The 21149-nt window shown below is 47.0% G+C and overlaps 1 long non-coding RNA gene and 1 pseudogene across 2 annotated transcripts in view, besides 4 other annotated features; one reads left to right on the plus strand and one right to left on the minus strand.

Moving 5' to 3' along the window:
• The window catches only part of FAM86B2-DT (FAM86B2 divergent transcript), a 129833-nt gene that overhangs the window by 45669 nt on the left and 63015 nt on the right, over positions 1 to 21149 (plus strand). Inside the window, exon 5 of one of the 2 annotated variants that reach the window (NR_040091.1) lies at positions 14902 to 15168. The exons of the other annotated variant lie outside the window; for it this stretch is intronic. This is a non-coding gene — a long non-coding RNA (FAM86B2 divergent transcript). The remainder of the gene's footprint in view (positions 1 to 14901; positions 15169 to 21149) is intronic. 2 annotated transcript variants of the gene reach the window in all.
• The window catches only part of ENPP7P6 (ectonucleotide pyrophosphatase/phosphodiesterase 7 pseudogene 6), a 63266-nt pseudogene that overhangs the window by 34669 nt on the left and 7448 nt on the right, over positions 1 to 21149 (minus strand).
• Positions 4554 to 5245: an enhancer, noted in NCBI's record as "H3K27ac-H3K4me1 hESC enhancer chr8:12344744-12345435 (GRCh37/hg19 assembly coordinates)". NCBI's record gives its function as "activates a minimal SCP1, AML or CMV promoter by ChIP-STARR-seq in primed H9 embryonic stem cells {active_cell/tissue: H9 hESC(primed)}" and the evidence as "EXISTENCE:reporter gene assay evidence [ECO:0000049][PMID:30033119]".
• Positions 14377 to 15236: an enhancer, noted in NCBI's record as "OCT4-NANOG-H3K27ac-H3K4me1 hESC enhancer chr8:12354567-12355426 (GRCh37/hg19 assembly coordinates)". NCBI's record gives its function as "activates a minimal SCP1, AML or CMV promoter by ChIP-STARR-seq in primed H9 embryonic stem cells {active_cell/tissue: H9 hESC(primed)}" and the evidence as "EXISTENCE:reporter gene assay evidence [ECO:0000049][PMID:30033119]".
• Positions 15237 to 16096: an enhancer, noted in NCBI's record as "OCT4-NANOG-H3K27ac-H3K4me1 hESC enhancer chr8:12355427-12356286 (GRCh37/hg19 assembly coordinates)". NCBI's record gives its function as "activates a minimal SCP1, AML or CMV promoter by ChIP-STARR-seq in primed H9 embryonic stem cells {active_cell/tissue: H9 hESC(primed)}" and the evidence as "EXISTENCE:reporter gene assay evidence [ECO:0000049][PMID:30033119]".
• Positions 18573 to 19074: an enhancer, noted in NCBI's record as "H3K27ac hESC enhancer chr8:12358763-12359264 (GRCh37/hg19 assembly coordinates)". NCBI's record gives its function as "activates a minimal SCP1, AML or CMV promoter by ChIP-STARR-seq in naive H9 embryonic stem cells {active_cell/tissue: H9 hESC(naive)}" and the evidence as "EXISTENCE:reporter gene assay evidence [ECO:0000049][PMID:30033119]".

The raw sequence follows: 21149 nt of genomic DNA on the forward strand, positions 1-21149 counted from the left end.
GTAAACAAGAGCAGGGCATATATGAGTAGTTGAGAATGGTGAATAGGAGTATGGCTAGACAGAAGATAGTAGGGATGACAAGTTTTTTGGGGCACAGTCCAAGTTGGTCTTGTGTCTGGAATGAGACTGGAGCCTAACAAAAAGGAGTGTCTATACAGGAGATCCAAGGGGTATCGGGGGACCTGCCCCGATAATCACGTAGGTTCTTCTCTATTTTCCTAAGCATTGACTGGCTTGAGAAATAAAAGGACAGAGTACAAAAGAGAGAAATTTTAAAGCTGGGCGTCCGGGGGAGACATCACACATTGGTAGGATCCATGATGCCCCACAAGCCACAAAAACCAGCAAGTTTTTATTAGGGAGTTTCAAAAGGGGAGGGAGTATACGAATAGGTGTGGGTGACAGACATCAAGTACTTAACAGGGTAATAGAATATCACAAGGCAAGTGGAGACAGGGCGAGATCACAGGACCACAGGACCGAAGTGAAATTTAAATTGCTAATGAAGTTTTGGCACCATTGTCATTGATAACATCTTATCAGGAGACAGGGTTTTGAGATCAACCGGTCTGACCAAAGTTTATTAGGCGGGAATTTCCTCTTCCTAATAAGCCTGGGAGCGCTATGGGAGACTGCAGTTTATTTCGCCTCTGCAATCTCGACCTTAAGAGACAGGTAAGCCCCGGGGGGCCAGTTCAGAGACCTACCCCTAGGTGCGCATTCTCTTTCTCAGGGACGTTCCATGCTGAGAAAGGAATTCAGTGATATTTCTCCCATTTGCTTTTGAAAGAAGAGAAATATGGCTCTGTTCTGCCGGGCTCACCAGCGGTCAGAGTTTAAGGTTATCTCTCTTATTCCCTGAACGACTGCGGTTATCCTGTTCTTTTTTCAGGATGCCCACATTTCATATTGCTCAAACACACATGCTGTACAATTTGTGTACTTAACGCAATTATTACAGGGTCCTGAGACGATATACATCCTTCTCGGCTGACAGGATTAAGAGATTAAAGCAAAGACAGGCATAGGAAATCACAAGGATATTGATTGGGGAAGTGATAAGTGTCCATGAAATCTTTACAATTTATGTTTAGAGATTGCAGTAAAGGCAGGCATAAGAAATTACAAAAGTATTAATTTGGGGAACTAATAAATGTCCATAAAATCTTCACAATCCACGTTCTTCTGCCATGGCTTCAGCCGGTCCCTCCGTTTGGGGTCCCTGACTTCCCGCAAGAAATGGGCTGTACCTTGTAGCATTCCAAGGACAGGCCGGAATTCTGAGAAGGGAAAGTGGTAAAAGTATTGTCCAGTCCTTTTTAAGTTGGTGGCTGAGCTTGGTAACGTGTGTTTTTAAAAGAGCATCAGTCTGTTCTACCTTTCCTGAAGATTGAGGACTGTAAGGGATATAAAGGTTTCACTGAATACTAAGAGCCTGAAAAAATGCTTGGCTGACTTGATTACTAAAGTTAGTTCTGCTATCGGACTGTATAGAGGTGGGAAGGCCAAACTGAGGAATTATGTCTGACAGAAGAGAAGAAATGACCGTGGTGGCCTTCTTAGACCCTGTGGGAAAGGCCTCTACTTATCCAGTGAAAGTGTCTACCTAGACCAAGAGGTATTTTAGTTTCCTGACTCGGGGCACGTTGAGTAAAGCTAATTTGCCAGTCCTGGGTGGGGGCAAATCCCTGAGCTTGATGTGTAGGGAAGGGAGGGGGCCTGAAGAATCCCTGAGGAGTAGTAGAATAGCTGATGGAACACTGGGAAGTTATTTCCTTGAGGATAGATTTCCACGATGGAAAGGAAATGAGAGGTTCTAAGAGGCGGGCTAGTGGCTTGTACTATAGCATAGCCTGCTTTTGCTGATGTGTGGTAATTAGGCCTGGTGGAACTGCCATCAATAAACTAAGTGTGGTAAGGGTGAGAAACAGAGAAGAAGGAAATATGGGGAAATGGGGTGAACGTCAGGTGGATCAGAGAGATGCAGTCATGAGGGTCAGGTGTGGTATCAGGAATAATGGGGGAGGCCGGATTGAAGTCTGGGCCAGGAACAATGGTAATTGTGGGAGACTCAACAAAGAGTGAGTACAGCAGAAGGAGCCGGGGAGCAGAATGTATGTGTGGCAGGTGTGAGGAAGACAATAGATTTTGGAAATTATGAGAGCTGTAGAGAGTGAGTTGAGCATAGTTTCTGATTTTAAGGGCCTTTAAAAGTCTTAGGGTGGCAGCAGCTGCTGCACGGAGACACAACGGCCAACCTAAAACAGTAAGGTCAAGTTGTTTGGACAAAAAGGCTACAGGACGCCATCCTGGTCCTTGTGTAAGAATTTCAACTGCACAGCGCTGCACTTCGGCTGTGTGTAATGAAAAGGGTTGGGATGAGTCACGGAGAGCTAGTGTAGCAGGACGAGTTCCAGACAAAACTCCTCAGACACTAGATTAAAGAAGGAAGAGGTTTTTTTATTCGGCCGGGAGCGTCGGCAGACTCGTGTCTTAAGAGCCGAGCTCCCTGAAAAAGAAATTCCTAGCCCTTTTAAGGGCTGACAACTCTAAGGGTTCTACGTGAAAAAGTCATAATAGATCAAGGAAGCTTGAGGAACGTGACTGGGGGCTACATACATCAGCTAACAGAACAAAAAGTTTTTACAGTGCTTTCTCATACAATGTCTGGGATTTACCGATAACAACAGTAGTTTTGGTCAGGGGTTAATATTATTGTTACTTTAACCACCAGGGCCAGGTGGTGGCGCCAAAGTCGTCTAGGTATTTATTTTACTTCTGTTTTTTCCAGCTTTTTGCTTTCTCCCTTTTTTGCTGTCTTATAAACTAGGGAAAAGGGGAGGTTGGGGAGAAACTGGGAAGGACAACAGGAGAAGTGGTGGTCTCATACCATATTTCCCCCCTTTGAGCATTTTCACTTTTTAGTGGGAGTTCTCACTCTCATCTTTACTTTTTGAGTCTCTTTGTGAGATAGAGCGATAGTGATTTATATAACACACGTGTGCTGAAGTTTTCTGATGAACCAAAGTAGCAACAAAATCTTTTATCATTTGAAAAAGCAAGAGTAATACACAGGGGAGCAGCAAGTAAGTTCCTATCACTAGCAATACACCTACAATGAGGGTTTTAAATCCTCCTATAGCTGGAAACCATTTTTCAAATAAAGACTCAGGATTAAACTCGTGCCAAACCTCTACAGGCACATGTGCAACCTTTGTCATGTCCCTGACTATGTTTTTAACCACCTGTCCTTGATCATTTATTTGTAGGCAGCAGTTGGTTAAGTTAAATTTTCCACAAACTCCTTCAGCTACTAGCAAGTAGTCTAAGGCCAGTCTTTTCTGATAGATAGCATTCCTCATTTGGGTTTCTTGCAAAGCTAAAACAGTCAAAGCTCTGCCAGTTTCATTAGTAATTATTTCTTAGACGGACTGCAACCGTATGATCCAGTTGAGCATGTAGATGGGGGTTTGGTATCCCCATGAGCCATCTTGTGCCCCTGTGGCAGGCCCATAATACTGAATGATCCTTTCAGGGGGCCACTCATTATCTTTCCAGTTTCCTATAACTATGCCTTTATTTTCTCAGGAGGCATAGACAGGGAAACCTAGGAGCTCACCCATTTTTATGGGTAATAAGAAAAAGGACGGCTTAATAGTGCCAATAACACAACTGTCTGCCCATTTATTAGGTAACCGAATGTAGGCTCTGTGCCTACGTATCTAGTATAGTCCAGTGGGAACCGTCCAGTCCTAATGAGATTCTGCATGAGCCTAAGCAGTTTTTAATTTAGAAAATTTACTAAATGGATTCTTTTCAGTGTGGGTTAGGCCCTACTAAGTAATTGTCTTTGTTGTGCTGTTATACAACTTCTGTCCTATACAATTAAGCTTTCCTACAGGGATGATAAAGTCTTTCCCTTCTCTAGCTATACAGTATTGTCTAATAATTGAGGTTTTAGGACCTAGAAGTTGCTAGCTTGGGCCTTCTGAACTGGAATTATATCAGGAGCTGGATCAGTAGACACCAACTCTCGGGCTTCCGAAGGCCATCTGTCTCCGATAGTGGTTCCTCCGCATACATAACAAGAAGTAACATTAAGGGAATTAGCTACATTTTCTGCTAATTGGAGAAACAAATTTTTTGTCTTTTTCAGAAGTTCTGGTGTTGGCAGATTCAGCTCCTCATAAAACGTTTGAAATACTGTTTTGGGAGAGCACTTGTGGACCTCCCCTCTAATTAAAATGGCAACTAGAGGGTTTAACCCTGTCCTATTGATCCCCAGGGCTACACGTTCTCCCTTTTTCCAAAGGGGATCTAGGGGATTGGTAATTATTAGTTCTAGTGGGTTACAGTGACCGGCGGCCCAGGAGGGGTTGGCTTCTCTCTTCTGAAGATAAACCGAGTCATTTTTGTTCTTTTTTTAAGTAGCCTAAATAACACATGGCCAATAGGCACAATTTTTACAAACCCCTGACTCATGACAAACATATTTATTTTCTACTCTTTAGCTCCTTTCTCAGTTAAGAGAACCACATCCTATTTCTAGCTTTTTACTATTAATGGCTGCACAAGCATCAGATCTTAAAGTTATTTGCTTGGGGATTTCTTTTTCTTCTGTTCTAGTTATTATTTTACTTGTATCACCTAGCAAAAGGCCAGTTCTTATTTCAAAAACGGTGGTTGCAGCGGGCTCAGATGGGCTATAACACGCATCAGGTCGGTCATTTCTTGGGCTACATACCTTGTACTGAGTGGCATTATACAAACAAGTTTCTTTTAATGTTTCCATACATTCATAATAACTATAGAACAGAAAGATTGTTTTAATTTGCTGTCCTACTTCGGTGACCTGATAAATACACTGGGGACAGTCCCCATTTTGAGTAAGGTTAGTTGAAGCCCTTACTGTATAAGTCCAAAATTTAAGAAAAATGAATCTAACGATGAGCTTCCTCATGCTTCGGCCATGCGTGGACCAGTCAGCTTCCAGGTGTGACTGGAGCAGGGCTTGTCGTCTTCTTCAGGGTCACTCTGCAAGGGTTGTCTGGGCTTGGTCTTGCCTCCCAGGTTTCCGGCGCTGCAGGTTTTACACAGCTGTGGTGGTTCCAGACTGGGATTCCTTCTACCTTCACAGCGGTGGGAGTGCTCAGGACGACAGTCTGGGGTCCTTTCCACAGTGGACACAAAGAGGCTACTTTCCAGTCCTTGATCCACACTCGATCACCTGGGGAGAAAGGGTGAACTGGGGAGAATAAACTAACAGGGCATCTCTCATTTACCCAGGCTGAGATTGTCTGTGTAATTTTTCCTAAAGCCTGTAGCTGTCGCTGTAACTCAATTTCACCTAACTCTCAGGGAGTGCCTGGAAGTCCCCGCAATATAGGAGGGGGCCTATGATATAATATTTCATAAGGGGAATATCCTGTTCTTTTAGAAGTGGTACATCTAATTTTAAATAATACCATAGGGAGAGCCTGTATCCATTTTAATCCTGTTTCCTGACATACTTTCCCTAAACTATTTTTGATAGTTCAATTCATTCGCTCCACCTTTCCAGAACTCTGAGGCCAGGAGGCAGCATGCAGTTTCCGTGTGATCCCCAATACCTTTGCCGCCTTCTGTACTAAGTCAGCCACAAACGCCGGCCCATTAGCTGAACTGATCCATAAGGGCAGTCCAAATCTAGGAATAAGATCTCGAAGAAGCACACGAGTTACTTCATGAGCTTTCTCAGTTCGTGTTGGATAAGCTTCCACCTACCCAGGGTAGGTACGCCCAAGAACTAGTAAATACTTGTTACCTCTACACTTTGGCATCTCTGTGAAGTCCATCTGGAGCTCTTCAAAGGGGGCTGCTCCATAAGCTTGTATGCCGGGTGGAACGGCTGGACCCTGCCTCGCATTATGCTGTCGGCAGGTAACACACCACTGCGTCACCGTTTCGGCAAGGGCTGACAAATGCGAGATGTAGAAATACCAGCCTAACAACTTTTCAAGTGATTCCTAACCTAGATGGGTGGTTTCACGCACAGCCAGTACAACTGCAGCTCCTAGCAGCTGTGGCACAGCTACTCTCCCATCCGGTAACCGAATTCATCCTTCCTCCATCACTTGTCCTCTCTCTGCCTGGAGAAAGTCCTTTTCTTCTTTAGAATAAGTAGGTACCAGATCAGGTGCTTGAGGGAGCAGGGGGGTTGTGATTGATGCCCAGAAGGGGGCAGATGCTGCTTTTCGAGCCTCTAAGTCAGCGCAGGAATTCCCTAAACCCACCAAGGTGGAAGCTCGCTTGTGTCCTCTGCAATGCATAACTGCCACCTTGTGGGGTCTCCATACGGCTTTTAATAATTGCAAGATTTATTGTTGATATTTTATGTCTTTTCCCCCAGAGTTCAATAAGCCCTTTTCTTTATATAATGTTCCATGCATTTGAAGGGTTGAAAAGGCATATTGAGAGTGAGTGTAAATGTTGACATTCTTAGCTTCACTGAGTTCTAAGGCCCGAATGAAAGCAATGAGTTCAGCTTTCTGAGCTGAAGTGCCCTGGGGAAACGATCTGGCTTCAGCAACAGTGTCCAGAGTTACCACCGCATAGCTTGCACATCTCTCTCCCTGTGGGTTGATGAAGCTGCTCCCAGCCACGTGTAGTTCCTAGTCTACTGATGCCTAAGGCTGTTCCTGGAGGTTAGGTCTGCTAGAGTAAACTGAGTCCAACACTTCTACACAGTCATGCTCGACAGGGCTCTCTGATACTGGGAGCAAGGTAGCGGGGTGTAGGGTGTTACAAACCTCAATGGTTATGCGGGGATTTTCACAGAGCAAACTTTGGTACTTAGTGAGTCTAGCATTCATTAGCCAATGATGTCCTTTAGTATTCATGAAAGTCACCACAGCATGGGGGGCCTTTACGTTCAGGTTTTGTCCAAGAGTCAGCTTATCTGCTTCTTGTACTAGCAGGGCAGTTGCTGCCAAGGCCCTCAAACAAGGGGCATCCTTTAGAAACCCCGTCTAGTTGTTTAGAGAGGTAGGCCACCGGCCTTGGCCAGGGCCCCACAGTTTGGGTTAAAACACCAACTGCCATCTTTTCTCTTTCTGACACATACAATGGAAAAGGCTTTATTAGATCGGGTAGCCCCAGGGCTGGGGCTGACATAAGTCTTTCCTTTAACTCATGAAAGGCTTGCTGTTGCTGGCATCCCCATTCAGAAAGTTCCCGGTCCCCCCACTTTGTGACCTCATACAAAGGCTTGGCTAATACTGCAAAGTTTGGGATTTACAGTCTGCAAAACCCCACAGCCCTTAAAAATGCTCTCACCTGCCTTCTGGTCTTAGGCTCCGGTAGATTGCAAATGACCTACTTTCTTTCTGATCCTAGGCTGCTCTCCCCCTGTCGGATAGTAAATCCTAAGTAACGTACCTGCCGTCGGCAGATCTGAGCTTTTTTCTTGGACACCTTATACCCACAGTCCTCCAGGTGCCGCAGTAGAGCATCTGTTCCCTTGGCGCACCCGACTGCCGTGGGGTGTCCCAGCAAAAGATCATCAACCTACTGGAGCAATACGCAGTCTAGGTCTCTGGTGGGAAACTTCTGGAGGTCTCGAGGCAATGTCTCCCCGAAGATAGTGGGGGAGTTCTTGAACCCTTGGGGAAGCCGGGTCCAAGTGTACTGAGTAGTGACACCTGACTCCGGATCTTCCCACTGAAAGGCAAACAGCTTCTGGCTCTCAGGGGCTAATCTGATGCTAAAGAAAGCATCTTTCAGGTCCAAGCAGGTGAAGCAGCTGTCCTCAGCTGGCAGCAACCCCAGCAATGTGTACGGGTTAGGTACTGCTGGATGTAAAGTCACTGTAGCCTGATGAAGCAAGCGCAAATCCTGTACCGGCCTGTAGTCCTTGGTCCTAGGCTTGGGAACAGGCAGGAGGGGAGTGTTCCATGGAGACTGACAAGGAACTCTAATTCCAAAAGTTCTTAGGTGCTTGAGATGGACCTGGATACCTTCAAGAGCTTCTCTGGGGACCGGCTCCTGTTTTTGCCTAAATGGCTGGGCCCTAGGCTTAACTTCTATAAGTACGGGGGCTTGGTTGACTGCCAACCCTGGAGGGTTGTCTTCCAACCGTACTCTTGGCCACCGCTTAGCCAGAGCTGGTCTTATCTCTTGGCCCGACTCAGTTAAGAAAAGTCTCCATTCCTCCTCTCGGGGGACGGTAAGGGTCATAATGACTCCCGTTCCGGGTAACTTTAGCAGCGAAGAGCCATGCTCTGTAAAAGAGATAGTGGCTCTCTGTTTGCTAAGCAAGTCCCTTCCCAATAAGGGCAAGGGACAGTCAGGCGTGGACAAAAACTGATGAATCACTTTATGTCCTCCTACAGTACAAGTCCAGGGCAAGCAGAAACTTGCTTTGCGGAAACCCCTGTGGCTCCGATGATGTCAATAATCTTTTTGTATAAGGGGGTGACCGGGGCGGTTACTACCGAATGTTTAGCACCAGTATCTACAAGAAAATCAATGTCTTTACCCCTAACTGTCATCCTGAACATAGGCTCTTTCGGGGTCCTTGAGCCCGGTCCCCCTCAGTCCAATAACCCTTCTGCCAGGTTGAGCAGGGCCCCTTTCTCCTTGTCTGGAGCCTCTTGCTCCGAATCACCTTGTTTTCTTTTTAGCTGAGGGCATTTGCTCTTCCAATGTCCTATTTCTTTACAATAAACACACTGATTACGCTGCAACCTTTGACAGCCAGGCTGAGTTTCTTTCCCGGGGCCCCCCTTCCCTTGCCTCTTTTGGGGGACCCCTCTGTTTGCTGCCGCTAACAGGTCGGCGTTTCGCTGGGCCTGACGTTCCTTCTCTCTGCAGTTTTCCTTATGGCTTACTGCATCCCTGTTTACAAACACCTGGTTAGCTACTTCTAATAACTGTGATGTGTTCATCCCTGCAAACCCAGCCTGTTTCTGCAGTTTTCTTCTAATGTCTTCTGCGCTTTGACTAACTAAAGCCATGTTAATCATGCATTGATTTTCAGGGCTATCGGGATCAAAGGGTGTATACATACCATAGGCATCACACAGTCTCTCCTAGAATTGTGCTGGACTTTCTTCTTTTCTCTGAATGACCTCAGAGACCTTGTTAACATTTGTGGCCTCCTGGGCTCCCCTCTTTAATCCTTCCAAGAGAGCTTCCCTGTCTCGGTTTAGCGTTTGCATATCCTCTCTTTCATTTGGGTCCTTCTGGGGGTCGGTTCCAGTAACTGGGTCCTTACATACTCTTGGGGGTTTTGGTAATCAGCCGGTGCATGTTCCTCTAGCCACTTAGTTGCTGCTTCTAGCACTCTCCATTTTTCATCTGTGTTAAAGAGGAACATGTGCAGCTGGTGACAATCAGTCCAAGTGGGGTTGTGGGTCTGGATATTAGTTTGGAGCAAATCAATTAGAGCTTGTGGCTTTTTGGTATAGGATGGGGTACTATTTTTCCAGTTGAGAAGGTGGGCAGAGGTGAAGGGCTGGTACACAGAAACACGCCTCCCCACCACATGACCATCCTCATCTATCCCTGTATACCGCTGCTCTCTCAGGAGCATTTGGATCCCCGTTTTGGGTCTTAAACGAGCTGCCAAGGGAGGGGTTCCTCCCGAGTCCTCACCTCTTCTTTTGTATACTCTGGATTGCCTAGGGATATGTTTGTCTTGTGGAGGCCCAAGCACTGTGGACTCAAAAGTGGGGAGCCTTTCTCCCTGGTAAGGGGAGGGCACCACTGGGATCACTGGTGCCATCTCCTGCAATGCATGTTCTGCTGTTGGGTTGAACAGATCTTCAGGTGTTGATTTCCCTCGGCGGGTGGAGCACGATCCTTCCTTGGCTATCTGTCCCTACGCTACTAGCACTGCTGCTGCCTGCCCTCTTAGCCACTGTGGGGGGTTTAGCATCAGCTGTAACCAAGTGTCTATGTATGGAAACTGGTCTGAGTGTCCTGACTTACCAATTACCTTGTGCCATACCTTAGAAACAAGGGACCTGCCCAGGCTTCCTTCTGATGGCCAACCCACTTCTAAAGCTGGGCAATCTATTTCACACAAAGTTCTAAATTTCCCTGGTGTCATAGTAACCCTATAGTCTCCATTAAATCCTTTCTTAAAATTTTTCATCATAGTTCCTAGCAGAGTAGGCTTACTTTGTGTCTGACCCACGTTTCCTCGAGACAAAACACCAAGCTCACACCACACGCACACCACAGAACAAAGAATGAGTAAAAAGGGCACACACACACTTTTTCAGTTTTCACCAAACCAGAATCAAAACCAAAATCGGAGTATCCAGAAATCCAAGCCAGGTCAAACCAAAACCAAAGTATCAAGCAATTCAATTCAAGTCAAAAACAAAAACCAAAGTGCCAGTACAGGCACGCCGTGGGTGATCAGGCCACACTTCCACTCAAATAGAGTGGGCAAGTTCCAAAGACCAGTCTTACCAAGTTTCAAATGTCCAGACTCCAAGTGCCTGTTCCTTCCCGGTGTTCACCCACTATGTTGATCCTCCACCGGGGCCTACCACACACTGCTCTGACGAGGCATTCCACCGGGTCAATTGCTTACCCAGGAGAGCTCTCAGGATCCGCGTCGCTCAAACTGGCAGGAGTCCCCCGCAGGGATGCTCCACAGGGCAGGCCTAAGCCGCCTAAAGGGCTGCCTCAACTGCCGTCAATTACCTCGCTTCCCGGTCAGGGAACCAAGACTAGGGTGGGGGCAGTCTTTAAAGCTGTCTTCAAGGAACAGAAAGAGGAGTGGGGAAAGGATTTAGGATCTATGGGGTCAGCTAGGTTTCCTTTTGTGAGTTTATATAATGGTTTTGTTAGGATGGCAAAACCAGATATCTAAAGGTGAAAGTATCCAACCATGCACAGGAAGGAAAGGAGTTGTTGTTTTGTAGAAGGGGTTGGGGTTTGAGAGATGAGTCACACACGATCGGCAGAGAGAGCACGTGTGTTTTTATGAGAATTATGCTGAGATAGGTAACAGATAAGGGAGAAATTTGGGCTTGACTGAAGTAATGGGGGCTGTCTGTGAAGCTTTGCGACAGTACAGCCCAGGTAATTTGCTGAGCTTGATGGGTGTCAGGGTCAGTCCAAGTGAAAGCGAAGAGTGACTGGGATGAAGGGTGCAAAGGAATAGTAAAGAAAGCATGTTTGAGATTCAGAACAGAATAATGGGTTGTGGAGGGAGGAACTGAGGATAGGAGAGTATATGTGTTTGGCACCTTGGGGTGGATAGGCAAAACAATTTGGTTGATAAGGCACAGATCTTGAACTAACTTGTAAGGCTTGTCTGGTTTTAGGACAGGTAAAATGGGGGAATTGTAAGGAGAGTTTATAGGCTTTAAAAGGCCATGCTGTAGCAGGTGAGTGATAACAGGCTTTAATCCTTTCAAAGCATGCTGTGGGATGGGATATTGGCATTGAGAGGGGTAAGAGTGATTAGGTTTTAATGAGATGGTAAGGGGTGCGTGATAGGTTGCCAAGGAGGGAATAGAGGTATCTTCTACTTGTGGGTTAAGGTGGGTGGCAATGAGGAGTGGCTGTAGTCCAGGAATAGTCAGGGAAGCAGATAATTTAGTTAAAGTGTCTCAGCCTAATAAGGGAACTGGGCAGGTGGGGACAACTAAAAAGGAGTGCTTAAAAGAGTATTGTCTAAGTTGGCACCAGAGTTGGGGAGTTTTAAGAGGTTTAGAAGCCTGGCTGTCAATACTCACAACAGTTATGGAGACAAGGGAAACAGGCCCTTGAAAAGAAGGTAATGTGGAGTGGTTAGCCTCCGTATTGATTAAGAAGGGGATGGACTTCTCCTCCACTGTGAGAGTTACCTAGAGCGTCTGTGATGGTCCTGTAGGCTTCCGAGGTGATCTATCAGGCAGTGTCAGTCTTCAGCTGCTAAGCCAAGAAGATCTGGGAAGGAATGAGTCAGAGAGCCTTGGGCTGGAGTTCCAGGGGCTCTAGGAGTGGCTGCCAGGTGAGTTGAACAGTCCGATTTCTAGTTGGGTCTCGCACAGATGGGACATGGCTCAGGAGGAATCCCGGGCTGCAGGCATTCCTTGGTCTGGTGGCCAGATTTCTGGCACTTGTAGCAAGCTCCTGGGGTAGGTGGTTCTGGAGGAATGCCTGGCCACTGCGCTTTAGGCGTTTGGAAGTTCTTGTGTGCTGGAGATTTGGCTGGGCTTTGTCTCACAGTGGAGGCAAGGAATTGCAACTGAGAAATATGTTGCTGCTAGGCTGCCTCTACTCCATTATTGTACACCTTGAAGTTGAGGTTAATTAAGTCCTGTTGTGGGGTTTGAGGGCCGGAATTTAATTTTGGAGTTTTATTTAATGTCGGGAGCAGATTGGGTAATAAAATGTATATTGAGAATAAGACGGCCTTTTGACGTTTTAAGGTCTAGGGCTGTAAAGCATCTCAGGGTTGCTGCCAAACGAGCCATGAACTGGGGTGGATTTTTATATTTGATGAAAAAGAGGCTAAATGCTATCTGATTTGGGATAAAGAAAAAGGAGCATTAACCTTGACTATGTCTTTAGCTCCAGGCACCTGTTTAAGAGTAAATTGCTGGGCAGGTGGGGGAGGGCTAGTCACGGAATTAAACTGTAAGCCAGACCCAGTGTGAGGAGGGGAGGTGATAAAAGGATTATAGGGTGGAGAAGTGGAGGCTGAGGAAGAATTGGGACCTAGCTCAGGCTGGCCAGGATGGGAGAGGTCAGATGGGTCTGTAGAAAAGGAAGATTAGAAAGACTCAGCGACACTTGGGGTTGGGACTGAGGGGACAGGTGGGAGGGAAAGGAGGAAGATTTCGGATGAGTTGCACTGGGAACAGAGACTAGGGAGGGACCAATGTGTAAAAGAATGCCTGGACATCAGGCATCTCAGATCATTTGCCCATCTTATGACAAGAAGTATCTAGATCTTGTAGGATGGAAAAATTGAAAGTGCCATTCTCTGGCTATTTGGAACCACTGCTGAGTTTGTATTGGGGTCAAGTAGCATTGTAGAAGAAAATAAGGCATTTAGGTTTTAGGTCAGGTGTGAGTTGAAGAGGTTTTAGGTTTTGAAGAACACAGGGTAAGGGAGAAGAAAGGGGAATGGAAGGCGGAAGCTTGCCCATAGTGAAGGAGGCAAGCCTAGAGAAAAGAGAGAGTAGAGACATGGAGAGAAGGGGTGGGGGGTTCTTGCCTTCCAGAATAGAGGGAAAGGGTTGGGGGCACAGAAATAAAGGGTTGGGGTGCAGAGATAAGAGGTCAGGTTGTGGAAATAAGGGATCGGGACACAGAGATGAGGTCAGGGCATGGAAATAAGGGATCGGGGTGCAGAGATAAGAGGTCGGGGTTCCTGTCCCTCCCCCAGAAAAGTGGGACATGCTGCTAAGGGTGAAGGAGAAGGGGTTGAGGGGTTCTTGTCCCTCCCCCAGAAAAGCAGGTCTTGCTGCTAAGGGTGAAGGAACAAGGCAGGCATCCCTGCATGGTCTGACACCTCTGAAACCTCGGTGAATAATCAGAGAGGTGTCCCTGCAAGTGATTAAACACCAAGGAAAGGCTGCCTTCACTAGTCCGTGACTGGTGCCAGAGTTTTGGGTCCACAGATAAAACGTGTCCCCTTTGTCTCTACCAGAAAATGAAAGGAATTGAAATTAAGAGAAGGGAGAGATTGAAGTGTGGTGCCAAGATTGGGAGGAGAAAGAGGTGGAGGGATAGTGAGGGAGGTTGGAGAAGAGAGTAAAAAGAAGCCGCTTACCAGATTTGAAATTGGTGAGATGTTTCTTGGGCTGGTCAGTCTGAGAACCTGAAGTCATAGGTGGATCTTTCTCACAGAGCAAAGAGCAGGAGGACAGGGGATTGATCTCCCAAGGGAAGTCCCTCGATCCCAGTCACGGCACCAAATTTCACATGCATCCATGTGAAGAGACCACCAAACAGGCTTTGTGTGAGCAGTAAAGCTGTTTATTTCACCTGGGTACAGGTGGGCTGAGTCCAAAAAGAGAGTCAGTGAAGGGAGATAGGGGTGGGGCAATTTTATAGGATTTGGGTAGGTAAAGGAAAAAGGGGGGTTGTTCTCTGGCAGGCAGGAGTGGGGGCCACAAGGTGCTCAGTAGGGGAGCTTTGGAGCCAGGATGAGCAAGGAGAAGGAATTTCACAAGATAATGTCATCAGTTAAGGCAGGAACCGGCCATCTGGATATGTACATGCAGGTCACAGGAGATAATGATGGCTTAGCTTGGGCTCAGAGGACTGACACTCTTCCTCCAGAGGAGGAGACCCAGACAGAAGAGGAGGAGGCAAGGTGATCACAGAGGCAGAGATTGGATCATGCAGCCACAAGTTGAGGAATTCTAGTAGCCTCTACAAGCTGGAAGACGCAAGGAATGGATTCTCCCCTAGAACCTCTGAAGGAGCATTCTCCTGCTGACATTTGATTGATTTTGGACTTCTGGCCTCCAGACAATTAATTTTTTTTTTTTTCTTTTTTTTTTTTCAGACAGAGGCTTGCTCTGTTGCCCAGTCTGGAGTGCAGTGGCATGATCTCAGTTCACTGCAACCTCCACCTCCCAGGCTCAAGCCATTCTCTTGCCTCAGCCTCCCAAGAAGTGGGGACTACAGGTGCCTGCCACCATGCATGGCTAATTTTTGTATTTTTAGTAGAGACGAGGTTTTGGCATATTGGCCAGGCTGGTCTCGAATTCCTGGCCTCAAGTGATTCACCCAACTCAGCCTCCCAAAGTCCTGAGATTACTTAGGTGTGAGCCACGGCACCCGGCACAGACATTGTTTGAAGCCACCCATTTCATGGTTCTTTGCTGCAGTGGTTGTGGAATATGAATGCACTCGTGCTGTTGGTTAGACTTTGCTGACCTTGTGTCTGTTATTCCCTGGCAGTTCTACAAGGCCTGGAGCTGATAGGAAAAACCTCCCTTCTTTCCCAAATGGTCCCCAGCTGCCCCGTTCACTGAAGGCCCTGCAGTCAGGAACGGTCAGGACTTCACACCCAGTTGTTGTGGGTGTTTGGCCGACACGACACTTCCTCTTGTGTGATTCATGGACCCGCAGCATTGCGTCACCTGGGAGCTTTTGGTATTGAAGACTCTCAGGGCTCACCCGGAAGGACCTGCTGGGCCAGAATCTACATTTTAACAAGATGCCCAGGTGATTTGCATACACGTTCAGATCTGAGAAGCGCTAGTAGGTGAGGCTTTAAGGTGGTAATTAGATCTTTTCTCCACCTGCAAGAATCTTAGTTTCTTCATGTTAAATCTATTAACTGTGGCAATGGCATGGGGGGTTATAAAACAAAACAAAATCCTTACATCAAGAATGCACCCTGGTGTGTTATGGATGTGGGTGAAATGAAATGTCTGGAATTTGCTTTAAAATATCCTAAAATAGCAAGAAGGAAAAGAAAAGTGGGAACTGGAATGAGATTGGCGAAATGTTGACAAGTTCTTGCAGTGGGATGATGGGTGCATGGGGGTTCATGGTGTAATTCTCTCCTTGATTTTTGTGCATATGGGAAATTTCCATAATGAAAAGTTAGAGGTCAGGCACGGTGGCTCATGCCTGTAATCTCAGCATTTTGGGAGGCTGAGGTGGGTAGATTGCTTTAACCTAGGAGTTCAAGACCATCCTGGACAACATGGTGAAATCCCATCTCTACTAAAAATGCAAAAATTAGGCATGGTGAAAACATGCCTGTAGTCATGTTGAGGTACGAGGTTGAGAACTGAGAATCACTTGAACCAAGGAGGCGGAGGTTGCAGTGAGCGGAGATCCAGTGAGCTGGAGATCACTCCAGCCTGGGTGACAGAGTGAGACTTGGTCTCAAAAAAATTTTTAATTTTCTTTTCTTTTTTTTTTGAGATAGAGTCTTGCTCTTTTGCCTAGGCTGGAGTGTAGTGGCGTGATCTTGGCTCACTTCAAGCTCCACCTCCCGAGTTCACTCCATTCTTCTGCCTCAGCCTCCAGAGTAGCTGGGACTATAGGCACCCAGCACCATGTCCGGCTAATTGTTTGTATTTTTAATAGAGATGGGGTTTCACCGTGTTAGCCAGGATGGTCTCAATCTCCTGAACTCGTGATCTGCCCACCTCGGCCTCCCAAAGTGCTGGGATTACAGCCATGAGCCATCGTGCCTGGCCTTAATTTGGTTTATTTTTTTTCTTTTTTGGGACAGGATCTGTAGCCCAGGCTGGAGTGCAGTGGTGCGATCCCGGCTCACTGCAGCCTCTACCTCCTGGGTTCAAGTGATCCTCCCACCTCAGCCTCCCGAGTAGCTGAGACCACAGGCATGTATTACCACACCTGGCTAATTTTTTCCCTTTTTCTAGAGGCAAGGTCTTGCTACGTTGCCCAGGCTGGTCTTGAACTCCTGAGTTCAAGCAGTCTTCCCGTCTCAGACTGGGAGTAATCCCAAAGTGCTGGGATTACAGGTGTGAGTCACTCTATCCAGCCTCAACTGTTTTTCATGACTCCACTTTTTCTCTCCTCTTGGAAATGTGTAGTCTTTGAGGGAATGTCATTTTGTCTCAATCTCTGGTTTCTTTGCTCAGTGCACCTGTGTTTGGGGCTTTGTTGATCTCCAGGCCTTTTTTCAGCAGCGTTGTCCCTGGAGAGCAGGATGGGAGCTGATGGCTTCTCAGCATCTTTTAACTCAGTTTAAAGATGACTATCAACAACATCTAGTCAGCATCTGTTGCTCTAGGCAACTGGGACTTCATTTCCTTTCTCTTTCTCCGCCTCTCTAACCTCTTTAAGACTCTGTCTTTGTCATGGGTACAGCATCACCTGTGTGGCCCTTAGGCTCCCTTACTTACATGTGATCTGCATATTATGTCTTTACTTCAGGGCTTTTCAGCCAGGGGGTGATTTTGCCCCCCAGAGAACACGTGGCCATGTCTGGAGACAATTTTGGTGGTTGCGGCTGGAGGAGGTGGTGCTACTGGCAGCTAATGGGTAGAGGCCAGCGATGCTGCTAAGCATCCTACAATGCCCCGGACAACTCCCACTAAGACAAAAGAATGATCCAGCCCCAAATGTCAATAGTGCTGAAAGTGAGAGACCCTGATTCCATCTTAGAGATCATCCAAGCACACTTGGCCAAATTGTTTTTGCTACTGTCCCATGAAGAAAAGGCAGACTCATTACCGATGGCAACATCGATGGGAGTTTTGCTTAGCTCTTCTTTGTGGACTTTGGGATACGGTGTCTTACCATTTGTGCAAGTTGTGCATTGCTTACCTCCAGGGGGCGCCACCCACATATTTATGAAAATGCCACCCCGGGAGTTGCACAGTATATAGTCTATATGGAAATAAGCAGTTGCTCTGGTTTTGGGGTTATCCTGGGGTGCTCTGGAACTGGGAGGAACTTTATTTCTGGCCATTAGAGGCCCTGAGCATGATATTGAGTATCCTTTCAAGAAAGGAGAAATGTTGAACAGAGAGGACCTCATTTTTATAACTCTTGACCATCATCTAGTTACGGAGCATCCACTTTTCACCCCTGGGCCATAACCATTTGACGCATGAAAAATCATCAAATTATAATATCATGGCTTATACTTTTGATAGCTTCTGCCCGGAACATGGCGGTAAGAGCTTCTCATTTTCAATTGATTCATTGGGGGAGAAAATATACACGGCTGTCCTAAGACTTTCTATGACACACAATTTGCTTGACGGGATTTCTTTAGTTTCTGCAGCATAACTTATTCTAACTGGTCCTCAATCACTTTGCAATAAAACCTGAGATTGTGAAGATGTTCATTGTCATTACCAGTGACGGAGCAGTAAGTACAGAGTTCTGGAGAGGGAAGGAATCGAGAGAGTTAAACTAGCAGAATGAGCCGCTCACCCTCAGAATTGCTTTTAGTCTTGGTGAGAACTGAGGGGAATTTTGACAGGGTTCAGGGGGACTGCGGGGAGTGGGGCTGGGAGGTGGCTGTTTGCACATGTGGTCAGCAAATCCAGTGAGGCGGTCCATGTACTGTGGGCAGCCCCATAGATGGAGTTGGGATTGCCCTGGACTGAGTACTGTGTCATCAGTACTCAAGACATCAAGGCCCAGGCTGGTGCAGGAGACACATTGCACTGTGTCAGCCTTTCTTCTATCGCTCCTCTCCAATGATAGTTCCTGATTTTCCGCTGAGGAGTCACTAGTCCCCAACGGCATGTGTGCCACTGGCCATTCCCCACCCTGATCTGGAGCTGGGGCATGTGGTCCCAGCCTGGATGCCAGTGTCCTTCCACCACCCTGGCCACAGTGATTGGGTCTGAGAAGCAGATTAGCCAAAGGAGAGACAATCTTGGAAATTTCATGTTCATGCTTAAGAAAGTAAAATGGAAAGCGGGGGGAGGGTGAGGGGTCATTCTGATGATATAATTTTAGGACCTGGATGTAGCCACACCTGTAGCTGTCACCTCTGTGCTATAGTACTGCTTTTTTTTTTCCTTCAAATTTAAATACTTTCTAAAGGCAAGGTCTTGCTATGTTGCTTAGGCTGGTTTTGAAAACTCCCTTTTGGGGGGATGCTTTCACTGCTTCACTTCCTTTCTATGAGAGCTCACGGAATCAGAAGACAAAGGAGATGACTTTTTTTTTTTTTTTTTTTTTTTTGAGACAGGGCTTGCTCTATTGCCCAGGCTGGAGTGCAGTGGTGCAATCACAGCTCGCCACAGCCTTGATCTTCTGGACTCAAGCGACCCTCCTGCTTCAGCCTCCTGAGTAGCTGGGACTGTAGGCTGCTACCCCCATGCCCAGCTAATTATTATTATTATTTTTTTCTTTAGAAATGAGATCTCACTATGTCACCCAGGCTGGCCTCAAACTCCTGGGCTCAAGTGATCGTCCTGCCTTAGCTTCCCAAACTTACAGGTGTGAGCCCCCACACCAGTCAACGCTGTGGTCTTATGCACCTGGTGTCCCCTATGCCCTGAGCAATGATCCTCCTGCTTCAAACTCCGAAAGTGCTGGGATAACAGATGTGAAGCAGCATGTGTGGCCCACATAGTATTCTTATGGGTTAAATTGAGTCCTCCTCAAAACATGTTGAAATCCTAAATTCTAGTAGCTCAGAATGTGACCTTATTTAGAAATAGAGTTATTGCGGGCCGGGCGTGGTGGCTCATGCCTATAATCCCAGCACTTTGGGAGGTCGAGGCAGGCGGATCACCTGAGGTCAGGAGTTTGAGACCAGCCTGACCAACATGGAGAAACTCCGTCTCTACTAAAAATTCAAAATTAGCTGGGTGTGGTGGCACATACCTGTAATCCCAGCTACTAGGGAGGCTGAGGCAGGACAATCGCCTGAACCCACGAGGCGGAGGTTGCATTGAGCTGAAATCGTGCTATTGCACTCCAGCCTGGGCAAAAAGAGTGAAACTCCGTCTCAAAAGAAAGAAAGAAAGAAAGAGAGAGAGAGAGAGAGAGAGAGAGAAAGAAGAAAAAAAAGAAAGAAAGAAATAAAGAAAAAAGAAAGGAAGAAAGAAAGAAAGAAAGAAAAGAAAGAAATAGGGTTATTGCAGACGCTATTGATTAGGATGAAGTCATCTTGGAGTAGGGAGGGCCCTAAGTCAACGACTGGTGTCCTTATAAAAGACGAGAGGACACGCCGAGTCACAGAGACACAGGGAAGGCGTCCATGGATTGGCCGGAAGATTGGACTGATGCGTATGCAAACCAAGAAACACTGAAGACTGCCAGGAGACCACAGGAAGGTAGGAAGAGGCAAGGCAGGACTCCCCGACAAGTGCAGGAGGGAGCGTGGCCCTGCTGGCACTTCCATTTCAGACTGCTGGCCACCAGAGCCACAAGACAATCAGTTTCTCTGGTTTCAAGTCACGCAGCTTTTGGTACTTGGTTGTGGCAGCCCTAGGGAATGAACATAAGTACTTTCTTTTTTTTTTCTTTTTTTGAGACGGAGTCTCGCTCTGTTGCCCAGGCTGGAGTGCAGTGGCGCGATCTCGGCTCACTGCAATCTCCGCCTCCTGGGTTCACGCCATTCTCCTGCCTCAGCCTCCTGAGTAGCTGGGACTACAGGCACCCGCCACCACGCCCAGCTAATTTTTTGTATTTTTAATCGAGACAAGGTTTCGCCGTGTTAGCCAGGATGGTCTCCATCTCCTGACCTCGTGATCCGCCTGCCTCAGCCTCCCAAAGTGCTGGGATTACAGGCGTGAACCACCACGTCCGGCCGAATACAAGTACTTTTAAATTAACTCTCCTCTTCTCTCCATCTTCTTCTAAATCATCATTTTTGCCTAAGCAACAGCTAGGGTCTAATACAGATGTGACGACTCACTTCAAAGTGGGGGAAGCTCCCATGTGCACCCAAACCTCCTGCTGCCTTGGCCCAGGGTTCAGAGACTGGACCATCATTCTGGAGGCTTGCTGGAGATCTGAGCCAGGGCATCATTCTCTGTTGCCTTTAAACAAAGGCTGGTGCTCGCCCAGGCTCGTGAGCTCCACCGAGGATCTATTTGGAAGGCAGAATTCTGAGATGACCCCTTAGGTTCTTGCCCTGGATAAATGCCAGGTGTAATCTCCTCTCCCCTGGAGTGTAGGCAGGACCCGTGGCTTGCTTCTAATCTATACCTATGGAAAAGTTGAAGGGATTTTGCAGATGTAACTAAGCCCCTAATCCATTCACTTTGAGTTAATCAAAAGAGAGATTATTCAGGGTGGGCCTGACATCTTCAGGTGAGATCTTCAATGAGGGTCTGGAGGAGAGAGACTCCTTCCTCCTGGTTTTTGGTTTTTGTTTGTTTGTTTGTTTTTGACATGGAGTCTCACTCTGTTGCCCAGGCTGGAGTGCAGTGGCACGATCTCGGCTTACTGCAACCTCTGTCTCCTGGGTTCAAGTGATTCTCCTGCCTCAGCCTCCCAAGTAGCTGGGATTACAGGCGTGCACAATCATGACCGGCTAAGTTTTGTATTTTTAGTAGAGATGGGGTTTCACCATATTGGCCAGGCTGGTCTCGAACTCCTGACATCAGGTGATCCACATGCCTCGGCCTCCGAAAGTGCTGGGATTACAGGCGTGAGCCACCATGCCTAGCTGGTTTTGAAGAAGCAAGCCACATGAGTTCCACAGTTGCATGGAAATAAATTCTGCCAACAACCATGTGAGGTTG

Source organism: Homo sapiens, chromosome 8 (genome assembly GCF_000001405.40).
Source record: "Homo sapiens chromosome 8, GRCh38.p14 Primary Assembly".
Lineage (NCBI taxonomy): Eukaryota > Metazoa > Chordata > Mammalia > Primates > Hominidae > Homo > Homo sapiens.